At 38.5% G+C, this 13064-nt stretch overlaps 1 long non-coding RNA gene across 1 annotated transcript in view; it reads left to right on the top strand.

Moving 5' to 3' along the window:
* The first annotated feature begins 6369 nt into the window (after nt 1–6369).
* Nucleotides 6370–13064, top strand: part of LOC105370176 (uncharacterized) — a 39040-nt gene continuing 32345 nt past the window's right edge. Inside the window, exon 1 of the long non-coding RNA XR_941905.3 lies at nt 6370–6458. This is a non-coding gene — a long non-coding RNA (uncharacterized LOC105370176). The remainder of the gene's footprint in view (nt 6459–13064) is intronic.

The following is a 13064-nucleotide window of genomic DNA, read 5'->3' as shown; positions in this document are numbered from 1 at the left end:
TTTAGAGTCTTAAAGGTTTTGTCAACCATAGTGCATAAATCTTTGTCAACCGTGCATAATATGGCATTTTCCAATAAAATTTCAAAGTTTAATTGAGGTATTTACAATTTACTTTGGAAGAGGCTCTGTAAAGATAATAAAACTGTTCTTAATTTGTATGTGAATGCATAAGTGGCTTTACCAGTTGTTGGAAGAAACACAGAAACAATCTGTCTTAACTCCATTTTACTATGTTTTCTATTCTCTGTTTGACTTCTGTATGTCAATTCAATAAATTAACTCAATAGGTACAGTTTGCCAACAGGTGTTATTGATACATAAGTAACTCTAATTTTAAGATTTATTGAAGTGACTTTAAAGGCCATCTTCAACAAATATAACAATTTTATACAACTGATAATTTCATCCCACTAATCCAGGTATGAAGATCCAGAAGATGATTGAATCTGGTTTTGGAATTCCTTCAGAAGAATATTCCAAGAATCAGCTCAATAGATACCCTCAAAAAGCATGTAATAAAGTTCAACACTTATTCTCAATAAAAGCTATGCATAAGCTAGGAAAAGAGAGACAATTTCCCAAGTTGAAAAGGAGTATTAATCAGAACCAGCAGCAAATATCGTCCTTAACATTTGTCCACTAAAACTGAGGAGACAACACAAAGGCCTTCTATTACTGCTACAGATTTTTATAAGAAGCAATAGCAACAAGTTTTACTTTTTAAAAATGCTATTCATAATAGCAACAAAAATATAAAATGCCTTTGTTAAATAGAAATATAAGACCTACATGAAGAAAACTGTAAAACTTTGCTAAAGGACATTCAAAATATATATCTTATTCCTAGATAGAAAGATTTAATATTATACATACATAAAATTTCCCCAAATTAAGCTATCAAATCAATGCAATTCCTAAAACTGCAATGATTACATCCATCCACAGATGTCTCTAATATCTTTAAAAACAAGTTATAGGATAATATGTGCAGTAGGATGCCATATTAAAAACAAACAGTGTGTGTTCATATATATATGCATATAAAAAGGTTTGGAAGGTTACACAGTAAACTATTTGCAAGGTTTGATTAATTGAAGAAAATAATTATAACATCTACATCAATATAATCAATGTAACCACATCTATAAATCTATACATAATCTGTGTAATTATTTATATGATACACTTATATAATTGTCAATATAACCAAATATTGATTCAAAATATCATGTATTCAAATTTATCCAATCATCACTTCATAATATATAGAAAAGTGGAAGCTGCTTAAGAATTTCTTTTATTTTAAAGTTTGTACTTTTCGAATATTTTGAGGATTATTTAGCTAATCTAATACATCATAGGCAAACAAGTAAGTTTTAGGCTACTAATTGGAGAAAAGACCATCACTGTCATGATGATAAAAACAATCAGAACATCATCTTCTTTGTCATCTCCTTTATTATTTTTGTTTTGTTTTGACGTGAAGACAACGAAGAAATGGGACTGAACATAAGTTAGGTCATTTTCTCTGACATAACTGAACATTTATTTTTAAAAATTTTTTCCAGTTTTATTGCAGAATAATTTACAAATAAATATTAAATATATTCAGGGTTTACAAGGGCATAATCTCATGTACATATACATTGTACATGATTAATACAATTAAATTAACACATCCATCACTACACTATTACCATTTTGTTTTTGTTTTCTTTGAGACAGGATTTCTCTCCTGTTGCCCAGGCTGGTGTGCAGTGGTGCCATCTCTGCTCACTACAACCTCCACTTCCTGGGCTCAAGCAATCCTCCTGCTACGGCCTCCCAAGTAGCTAGGACTACAGATGCATGCCACCAACCCCGGCTAATTTTCATATTTTTAGTAGAGACAGGGTTTTACCATGTTGGCCAGGCTGGTCTTGAGTTCCTAACCGCGAGTGATCCACCCACCTCAGCCTCCCAAAGTGCTGGGATTACAGGCGTGAGCCACTGCGCCCAGCCCACAGTTACCGTTTTGTGTGTGTAGTGGGGATGAGGGGTGAAGACACTTAGGATCTACTCTTTTAGCAAATTTCAAGTAAACAATATGATGTTAGCATTATTATTGTTTTTTGAGATGGACTCACTATGTTGCCCAACCTGGTCTGAAATTCCTGAGCTCAAGTGATTCTCCTGCCTCAGTTTCCTGAGTAGCTGGAATTACAGGCATGTGTTGCCATGCCAGGCTTAGTGTTATTAACTATAGTCACCATACTATACATTAGCTCTTCAGAAATTATTCATCTTATAACTGAACATTTATGTCCTTTGACCATCTCCCCATTTCTCCCACCTCCCCAGCCCCTGGCAACAACTTCTCTCTACTCTCTACTTCTGTAAGTTTGACTATTTTAGGTTCCACATATAAGTAATATCATACAGCATTTGTCTTTCTGTGTCTGGCTTATTCATTTATCATATTTTCCTCCTAGTTCATTTATGTTGTCAAAGATGGCAGGATTTATTTGTTTTTTTATGGTTGAACAATATTTTGTGGTCGAATAAGAAATACATTCTTTGAACTAGTGACTAAAGTGACCAATATATGGTGGTGTTTCTCCTACAGCCAGAATACTACCTTCTATTTTAATTTGCTTGTTTGTTTGTTCTATGAGAAAGAAGTTAGGAAAAAGCTGTATATAACATTGAGGTGTGAAAGCAGAAGTCACTCCTCTCACTACTACATGTAAGAACTCACTCACAAATATTTGCTTCTCATCCTACAACTTTAGGCTCCGCTGGTTTAACGACATAGTTCTCAAGGCAGTAATAATTCCTCTGAAGTCTATAACAATGCTTCTTTTATTGACATAAAAGTTGAGACTGTCACCTGGCCATTTGAGCTCCACTGAATTAGCTTTTAAAGAAGAAATAAACAATGTGAGGTGCCTCTTCTATCTTAAGCCCACTGAGAGAGTTGCAAGTATCTTTAAAAGTTCAACAACCATAGAAAATTAAATCCAAGAAAGATGGTTTAAAATTGAAAGGATTTTTCTTTTAAAAATACTCGTATAGACCTAAAATAACAGATCTAATTCTATCTGTGAATTGTGTTGCCAGAGAAAAAGAGAAGAAAAATATACTAGAAAGCACACTGATAGAAATCATTGAAAACAATTTATCTTCAGTTAAGAACAACAAATCTTTCTTGAATACCTAGAGGACTATTCTGAATACCTACTTGTCGAATTCTTGAACTATAAAGACATGGGATATTTAATGGAAATAGATGAAGAGAAGAGAGAGAGTTATCATTCAGAGATTCAATGACTATAAGTTTTTGTTTTTGTTTGTTTGTTTGTTGGTGAGACTGAGTCTCACTCTGTCACCAGACTGGAGTGCAGAGGGCAATCTCTGCTCACTGCAACCTCCATGTCCTGGATTCAAGCAATTCTCCTGCCTCAGCCTCCCAAGTAGCTGGGACTACAGGCGCATGCCACCACGCCCAGCTAATTTTTGTATTTTCAGTAGAGACGAAGTTTCACCATGTTGGCCAGGAGGGTCTCAATCTCTTGACCTCGTGATCTGCCCGCTTCAGCCTCCCAAAGTGCTGGGATTACAGGCGTGAGCCACCGTGCTCGGCCGACTATAAGATTTTTAAATTCATTCAAGAGGGAACAAGGATAAAATTATAATAGAACTTTTAAAAATACTTGATTCTCACTACAAACTCATCATAATGCCACTTCACTGGTTTTTTGTGTAGTACTTGTTTTGTTTTGGTTGTTGTTTGTGTTTAAGGCAGAAGGGTCTTTTGCAAATATAGAACCTAAAAGAATATTTCAACACACTCTACATCTACAAAAAGAACTACAAAAGACTGGGGCTGTAGAGGGAGACAATAAGTTTAAGTGATTTAAACTTATTGATTTAAACTAAGTGATTTAAACTCCACTGAGCTGAGGCTGTGCTGATGGCAATACTCTTGCTCTTCCAAGGTGCAGATCTTCTTGAAGCTCAGGGCATCATGACAAATTGGCATACATAAGTGAGTGGCTCTGTTCCACCTGAGTAATGGTCTGTTAGAGGAATCCCACAGCAAGATTATCTGGTTGGAGAGGTGTTCCAGAGCTTATTAAGGTTCTTCTTTCAGTTCACACAGAGCTTTTTCCCCTCAGTGCACAAACTATCTGTCGTGGTTGCAACTGGTTCATACGGGGGCCACCACATTGTGGCCACAGGCTATTTTTTTTAACTCATCATTGTATCTGACTCCTTTTATGGAGGTCTCTCTGTCAGAGGGTCCATATTCTTCTAGTAATTTATCACGTCTCATCACAACTCCTAGTCTTAAAACGCACCCATACGTCAGTTCTCCATATGTGCATATCTGTGTCTACAACTCGGGAAGTAAGATTTTTTTCCCCCAGGAGGCTCCTGGCTGTCATATATATCAGTGATGTAGGTAGGGGTGGGCAGGGACAGTACCACCTAGCTCCATCTACCCAACAAATTTAAATTTCCTCCATGATCTAGCTGATAGGCCCTGTGTGTTAGTTAGAGTCCAATCCGGAACACAGAAACAACTCTCGTAATTCAGCAGACATAATACAAGATAATATGCATGTGAGACTGCTTGATATCTTCTAAAACACCACACACAATAGAAACCAAAGTCATTAAAATTTCAAATAAACTCCTAAATGCCAACTGCACTGGACACACCTAATTTCTTTGTGATATTTAAAGCCACTGGACATTTGCTTCCTCCTGAAACTGTCCCGGATAAGCTTCTCTGACACTTTTTTATTTCCCTACCTGTCCAAACATACCCTCGTGGGCTCTTTGCAAGCTTTCCTACCTAACTTATCACATGATAAATATTTACTGAATAAACTACATTAGCATTGATTATCAGAAAAATTTGCAATTTGACATAAACTATCATTTTTCTTATTTTTCCCTGATCTGTCACCAAAAAAATTTAGATTATCAACATTTAAGCACTTTATCCCAGAGAGTTCATTCAATATTGTTATTCTATTTTCCTGAAGAGGAAACCCAAGACTGGAAGTGAAGTCATGCATTTAAGCTACCCAGTGAGTTAAAATCAAAGATCCAGTGGCATTTATATAAGCCCAACTCTGAGTCCTGGTTCTGAGAGCTGGTCTGAGACAATAGTGCCTCTTCGAATAACAGGCAAATAAAAATTCCCGAGGAAGTGACAAAATATCAGTAGGCATTGTTTCTTGTCATTTCCTTGTTTCTGTTTTAATTTGCCTGTTTGTTTGTTTGTTCTGTGAGAAAGAAGTTAGGAAAAAGCCATATATAACATGCATATTTCTATTTTGTCCATTTCCGTCCTCCACCCCAATAACATGTTTAGAATTTGAAAAGCAGTTTTCATTTAACTAGAATTAACTTAATGAATTTATAATATGACAAAATTATTAATTGGAATTCTATTGTATTGAATTCTATTTATATAAATTCACTTGAATTATGTTTATAACAAACATATTCATGTGACTTTAGCTTACTAAGTTTATAACTGTTATATGTTATATAATGTATATATAACTATATGTTTTATTACCATATAACATTGAATTATTTTGCTACAAATATATAGCCTATTCTGTATTGGAAAACATTAACTGCCAATTTGATTGACTGCGTAAGTTGCTTAAATGAGTTATTTTGGTGCTATTTGGATTAACTTTTAATATTTAGCCATTTGCAGTACAAAGAAAAAAGGCAATGAAAATGAAGTATGATTTTACTAATTTGCAAGTAGGCCCTGGAGGTCCCACCCCACTCACTTCTCTGGCCTTTTACCCTCTTCTTCCTTTCACTCATGCAGAGATTCTCGCTGGACCTTTACCGTGCCAGGCACGCCCCACCTTGGGACCTTCACACAGGCTGAGGCAGGAGGATCCCTTGAGCCCAGGAGTTCAAGACTGTAGTGCATCATGATCCCATCTGTGAACTGCCACTGCACTCCAGCCTGGACAACATAGCGAGACCCTGTCTGTAAAACAAAACAAAGAACTAATTAAAAATAAAAAACAGAGAATGTCAGCAAAAGAGGAAGGAATACACATTAGGCTCAGGACTCCAATCTTCATTTTCTGCATTTTCAGAGCAGGCATGGTGGCTATGACTTGCTCAGGGTTGTGCACAAGTCACCTTCCAAGAGAACAGCCTGCTGAGTCACTGCTAACACCTAGACTTACTTTCAGCAAGGAGTCCAACACTACTAGCAGAAATCCTCTGCCTCTAACAAGCTCTGCCTCTAACAAGTGTGCTTCGGCTTCCCTCCGCGGAGTGTGCTTCGGCTTCCCTCCGCGGAGTGTGCTTCGGCATCTCTCCGCAATAGCTCCCGTATCTCTCCGCAATAGCTCCCGTCCTTTGGAAGGAAGAAGAGCCAACTGGGGTCATTTGCCTTGGTCTCCTCTCTTCATTAGATCCATATAAAGGTAAAAATATGCCTCACTGGCCTACTTTAAGGAAGAAGTGACTGGGGAAAGAGGAGTGAGAAAAGCCCCTGTCCTGGATAATCCCCAAATTGTTAAGATTATATCGTAGAGCTACATGTAATACTTTTGCCTTAAAAGTACTCCATAGAAAGAATATTCAATAAAAGGTATTTGAAATATTTGGAAAAATATAACATTATATCCCCACCTTATACTTTACACCTGAATAAATTTCAATAAGGTGTGAAATAGAAAAACAAAAAAGCATGATAATAAAATATAAATTAATATTAATTTATTATTTAAATGAGGTAAGTTTTTCCTGGGTGTCTTAGCAAAGGCAGAAAAGAATAGATTTCACATATTTTACTCCATACAACATTTAAACTTTTACACAGAAAAAAGGCATTCATGAAGTTAAAAATAAAGCAAATTAAGAAAAGTAGTCAAAGGTAGAATTTCCTTCACATATGAAGGCCTTTTATAAATCAATAAGAAACACAAATGTTTAGTAGAAAAAAACTGGTCTGAGAAAATGAGTGATCAATTTACATGAAAAAAAACCCCCCAGGCCAGGCGTGGTGGCACACACGTGTAGTCCCAGCTACTTGGGAGGTTGAGGTAGGAAGATGGCTTTGAGCCCAGGAGTTTGAGGCTGCAGTGAACTGAGACTGCATCACTGCACTCCAGCCTGAATGACAGAGCAAGACCCTGTTTCAAAAATAAAATAAAAAATAAGAACCCCAAAAGAACCAAGTACAATTTCTAGCTTGACAAATGTCTAGTGTTGGTAAATGCTGTAGGAAATTGATGTTCTTATATCCTTTTGCTGGGAGTGTAAACTGGTACACATTTTTAGAAATGGTGTGCCAATGTGAACCAAAATGTAAAGTGGATATACTGTGTGATCTGGCAATTCCATTTCTAGCAAACTATACTATGGATATCCCATTATAAATAAGCCAGTATGTGTTTATAAGGATGCACATTGTTGCTTTGTTTGGAAAGCCAAACCTGAAACTACTTAAATTTCCATCAACAGTGGACTGGTTAATAAAAATAGTATATCAAGACAAAGATATATTATGAAAATGTGAAAAGGAATGAGCTAGATATATAAGTAATGATTTGTAAAGATAGCCCGTATATTTTATTAAGTTAAAAAAGCAAACTAGAATAGTAGGTACAGAAGGATTACACTTTTGGGCCAAAAAAAAAAAATCTGTAAATGTGGTGGGAGAATCCTTTGTTTACTGAGTCCTCCTCCCCACCGCCATCACCATCATTGCCATTACCTCTGTACCCCAACACCCACTGCAGGAAGCAATGAGGGCCTTCTGGGCCTCAGGGAAGCAGGGCCACAACTGAACAGAGAATAAAAGAATTAATTCTCAGCTTTTTAATTTCAAAATAGACTTTTGAAACTACTGGCAGAGACAATGGGTTAAACAAATAGCGTTGGAAAGAATGACTGTTGATCCAAGAGCCAGTTTTCCTGCTTTAGAGGAGATAAAAATACTCCAGGAGAGAAGGGAGCAGGGGACAGAGGAGAGCTGGTGGGAGTAACATCGTGCAGAGGACCAGAGCCCCGCCCACCTTGGGCTGGCCGCAGAGAAGGTAGGGGAGCAAGAGAACAAGGACGTTCTCTTTGCTGTCGTGACACAGGAGCATAGAGAGAGAGGTAGAAGGTGTGCCAGGCCGATGGGCCTGGGGCACCTTCACTGGCTGGGGTCCAGGAAGCAGACTCCGGTTTCATGGAAAGAATCCACAGCCAGCTGGAAGCTCTGGGTCGGCATTAGGCAACCCCATTAGCAGATGCAGCTTCAGCCACCTGGTCTATACCTGATGCCACGGTGGAGGGCGAATGGACAGCAGTAGCCCAGAGCCAGATGTGGGCAGTGGGCACCAAAGTAGATGCTAGTGTGTTTAGATCTGACCGATAGCTGGCCACCTCCACAACGCCCCACCCCCAGAATCTAGAACAACAGCAAGAATGACAATAATCCAGGGCGGAAGAACAGAGAGGAAGCTCCTCCAGCGACTGCAAACTCCTGAAATGCCTGAGTTTCCTCTGAGTTGACAAACATAACGTGTTCTGCTTCTTGACAGAACTGGTGCTCAAAATAGAGATTAAAATGTTATTTTTAAAAAGTTACATTTTCCACTCCTGAATGTGAGGTCCTGAAAATAATCACGCCTGCTATGTATAGACACATGCTTGTTTATACATAGGGAAATTCAGGAAGGTATTTCAGAGATTTAACAGGGGACCTTTCTGGAAGTAGAAGTGAAGGATTAGGGGCATGCGGAACTTTCTGCTTGTGAACTGTTTGGATTTTTCAGCATGATTACTAAAGATCCTGTCCTTAAAGAGCTCAGAGGATATGAATTCAGGCAGACAGCTAAAGAAATACTTGCAGTGGAGTGTGATGCATACTGCAATTAAATGTCCAAAGAAGTGCAAATGAGGCAAGACACATGTTCCTCAGAGGCAACTGTGCAAAGCATTCAGGTGAGCCTTTGCGGATCTCAAGACATTTAGCAGGTGCAGCGGCGGCTGACAGCACCCTCCATTAGGATTATTTCAGATGTCCCCTGAGGACTTGATCGGTGAGGAGAGGTTGATTCTGGAATACAAATGACCATTTTTTAGGAAGAAACCACAAAGCTAGGAATTAAATTTTCGACCTAGATGCAGGAAGAAAAGAAATGGACATCAAGCAATACAATTGTATTAATTCACTCACTACTTTATATTAATCTTGCAAATATAAGTTTTTAAAAAAATCTAATTAAAGCTAGCTTTGCAAATGAGTACCACAATATTGGTCAGTATCCTTGACATTACTTTTTAGCATGTGAGTTCCCAGGGTGGTACCTGTGAGACAGTAGAGAACATCTACATCCTCATCTTTGGCACTTACGCTGTTTAAATTGTGCCTCTTCCCAGAGAACTGAGTGGAGAGACCCTTGACAAAAACTGTAAACAAAGGTAGAAAAGACCATGTTTTTATTGCTATTACTACTGTTATTGTCATCAATATTTTTATTATTCGTGGGATTGGGAGAGGCTGAAAAAAGGAAGAATGTCATTTGAGCAAGGTTCTGACAGATAGCTGATGGAAAAGAATTCCAAGCTGAAGGAATAACAGGAGAAAAGGCCACAGTGAGGAAGTCAGCAATGTTTGATGACAGCAGAGCCCAAGTCAGTGGTAGGTGTCAGAGACATCACAGGGAGCCCAGGCATGAAACCCTAACAGGCCATCGTGAGGACTCAGGTTTTACCCTGAGTGAGATGGAAAGCCAAGGGAGTGGGTTGGCGGGGTGGGGGGGGGGGGCCTGTGTGGATATGATTTAGAATTTAAAATCATCCTTGGGCTACTCGGATTTCAGTGGATTGTAGTGGTACAAGGACAGAAACATGGACCCTTGTTAGGAAGCTGGTGCAACACACAGTATATACAAGGCAAAGAGTTTGTGTTCCTCATATGGAGCATCTCTACTGCCTCTGGGTGTCTTTTTCCTTCTTTTAAAAGGCATGCTTTGTTGTTCAGTGTAGTTCAATCTCATCAAATAAAAATAGGATGGTGAAAAGTGGGTGATCAGCCACAGCATGTTCTACCCCTCCAGTGTTCATAAGACTATCTCTTTTTAGTAGGAACTACCGAAAGTTAGAGGCAGAAAAACCAGCAAGATGACAGTTAAGACCACATTGACTAAGAGAATAGGAAGGGAACAGCAAGTCTTGAATCTTGTGATGGAGGCAGAAGAATCTGGGTTTAGCAATTAAGTGTATGTGGACAGTGCAACAGAGTTCGGAGGCACTGCCTGGACATTCAGTCATTTAGGGACATTTGTAATCAACTTATTGATTTTATTTTAAAAACCCTGGGCTTCTTTTTTTTTTTTTTTTTTTTTTTGTAGTGAAGTCTCGATCTGTCACCCAGGTTGGAGCACAGTGGTGCGATCTCAACTCACTGCAACCTCTGCCTCTTGGGTTCAGGAGATTCTCCTGCCTCAGCCTCCTGAATAGCTGGGATTACAGGTGCGTGCCACTGTGCCTGGCTAATTTTTTTTTTTTTTTCAAGTAGAGATGGGGTTTTCGCCATGTTGGCCAGGCTGGTCTCCAACTCCTGACCTCAAGTGATCCACCCACCTCGGCCTCCCAGAATGCTGGGATTACAGGTGTGAGCCACCGTGCCTGGCCAATTTTGAAAGCACTGGGTTTCTATAAAAATCAAAGGACATCTCTGTATGTATTGTGATGTCATTTCAGGCAGTGGAATTACTGTGGGAAATCCTAGTAACTCAGAACAGAAGGAAATGCTTGTGCAAAGGACTGCCCTAAGTGAAATAGTGGGGAGTGGCCCCACTAACTATTCAAGTGAAGGCTGAAACGACTCCGTGGATGGGATGCAGCAGAGAGAATCTAGTTGTATTAGTCTGCTAGGGCTGCCATAATAGAATACTGTAGACTGGGTGGCTTAAACGACAGAAACTGATTTTCTCACAGTTCTGGGGGTTAAGGTGCTAACAGGAGTGGTCTCTGTGGCTGGCAGATGGCCGCCTACTTCCTGTGCCCTCACATGTGCACATGCATCCTTAGTATGTCTCTGTATGTCCAAATATGCTCTTCTTATAAGGACACCAATGATATTGGATTTGGGCCCACCCTAACAGGCTCATTTTAACTTGATCACCTTTTTCAAGGCTCTGTCTCCAAATACAGTAGCATTCTCAGGTACTAGAGGTTAGTGCTTCAACATATGAATTTTGGGACACATAATTCACCCCACAACACAATGATTCTATATGTTTTTAATAACCACAAACACATATAACCAAAAATGTAGTCGTGTGTTAAGGGATAAGTGTAGAGGAAGAATAGAGATGAAATTTAAATGTATTAAAATGCACTAAAAAGGAAAAAAAAATGGAAAAAGCATTTCCCAAAAGAGTTAAACCATTGCCAAATCATTTCAAGCCAGTAGTAAGCTGGGTTAATTGTCAAATGCTTCAGCAAGCTCTAGTGGGGGAGTTAACAGCGGTTGTTATCTTAAAAAGAACACATTTCTTTTAATACTATTATGTTTTAGAAGTGCATAAAAGGTTTCCAAGGAGAGTCCCTTTTGTGTAATGATGCAAATTGTACTGAGTGGTATGCATCATTTCTGGGGTGACATCTGGGGGTCAGAAAAATCTAAAGCCTTAGCAATATGTTAAGGTAAATTTTCTTGAACTGGAAGAATGGAGGTAGCTTCTGAAGATGGAATACACAGAGCTTTGTAAAATAGAGATAATAAGAGGGAAATAACAGGTTTTAGAATCTTGCAGGTTTCCTACTGTTTATAGTTCACAGATCCAAATATAGCTGTGTTTTAAGTTTTTAAAACATCCATTTTGTGTGAAAATCCATCTCTATAGATAGTCTCGGCCTTAGTGAAATAGACTAGGAAAGGAATATCAGTAACTGCACAAGTCTCTTTGAAAGAAAATGATTTGCACCAAGGATTCCTGGCTATCTGGATTTTCTGAATATAAACAAAAGAACTTCTGGGGAAAAACAGCAGAATAAAAAACATTAAAATGGAAGAAAAAAGAAATAAATCAAAAGAGAGATATGAGTCTACTATGACTAATTTTTACTTCTCCTAAGTTACTCTTTTATTTCCTGGCACTAATCTCCTTCTGAGGCCAAGAAGTTTTATCTCACTTACTTATGCTCCATTACAAGTATTTCTCCTGAGGTTGGTATTTGGGTAGTGTGGAACAATCAAACATTTGCAAATGCCTTGGGAATGAATCGTTGTTTCTGTTTTCTTTCTCTCTCTCTCTCTCCTTTCCACCATAAATCCATTAGACATTTACCTTTATTACATTTATGAATGCACCCTGAGTCCAAGAAAGCTCTGGGTGAATCTAGACCATACATCAAATATCTCTAAAGTGTTTAGGTGCTACTGGGATGAGAACTTCATAAATAATTATGTCCTAGATTTTGTTATTATTCACTAGTGAGGCATATTCCTGTCTAAAGTTGTTTCAAAGAACTCACCTGTGAAATTCCAGTAAAAGATGTATCACTTTTTTAATATCCCCCAAGCCCCCATCACTGATACCCAATCTTGCTTCCAAACTTCTTGAGGAAGTTGAAAGTTCAGTGGCGGTGCTTCTGTTGACTCAGTCTTTATTATTGTCTCCATCACAGGTATTTTGTTCTAATGGCATCTCCCAAAGAACCATTGTTCCATTAAATTATCAACCAAATGTTCACACAGAATCTGCGACTATGCATACAATTAAGATGTGATGTAATTTACAAAGTGATGTAACAATGGGATGCGGCTCAGTCTCATAGTCCCCTTATCATGAATGGACAAGCAAAAACCCACCCTGTGCCTGTGTTTTACTTTGAGACGATTTTCCAGTAATATTCTTTATTTGCATGGCATTATTTAAATTTTATACTTTCACAAAGTGAAAAGTACAGCAGTAGGAATAGCCAGCACTAAGCACAAGTGATATTGGCCAAAAGTCTCCTTGTCGGCCAGGTGTGGTGGCTCAGGCCTGTAATCCCAGCACTTTGGGAGGCCAAGGCGGGCAGAT

The sequence above is a fragment of the Homo sapiens genome, chromosome 13 (assembly GCF_000001405.40).
Source record: "Homo sapiens chromosome 13, GRCh38.p14 Primary Assembly".
NCBI classification, from domain to species: domain Eukaryota; kingdom Metazoa; phylum Chordata; class Mammalia; order Primates; family Hominidae; genus Homo; species Homo sapiens.
Note: the sequence above shows the minus strand (reverse complement) of the source record. Positions and strands in the feature narration are given on the sequence as shown.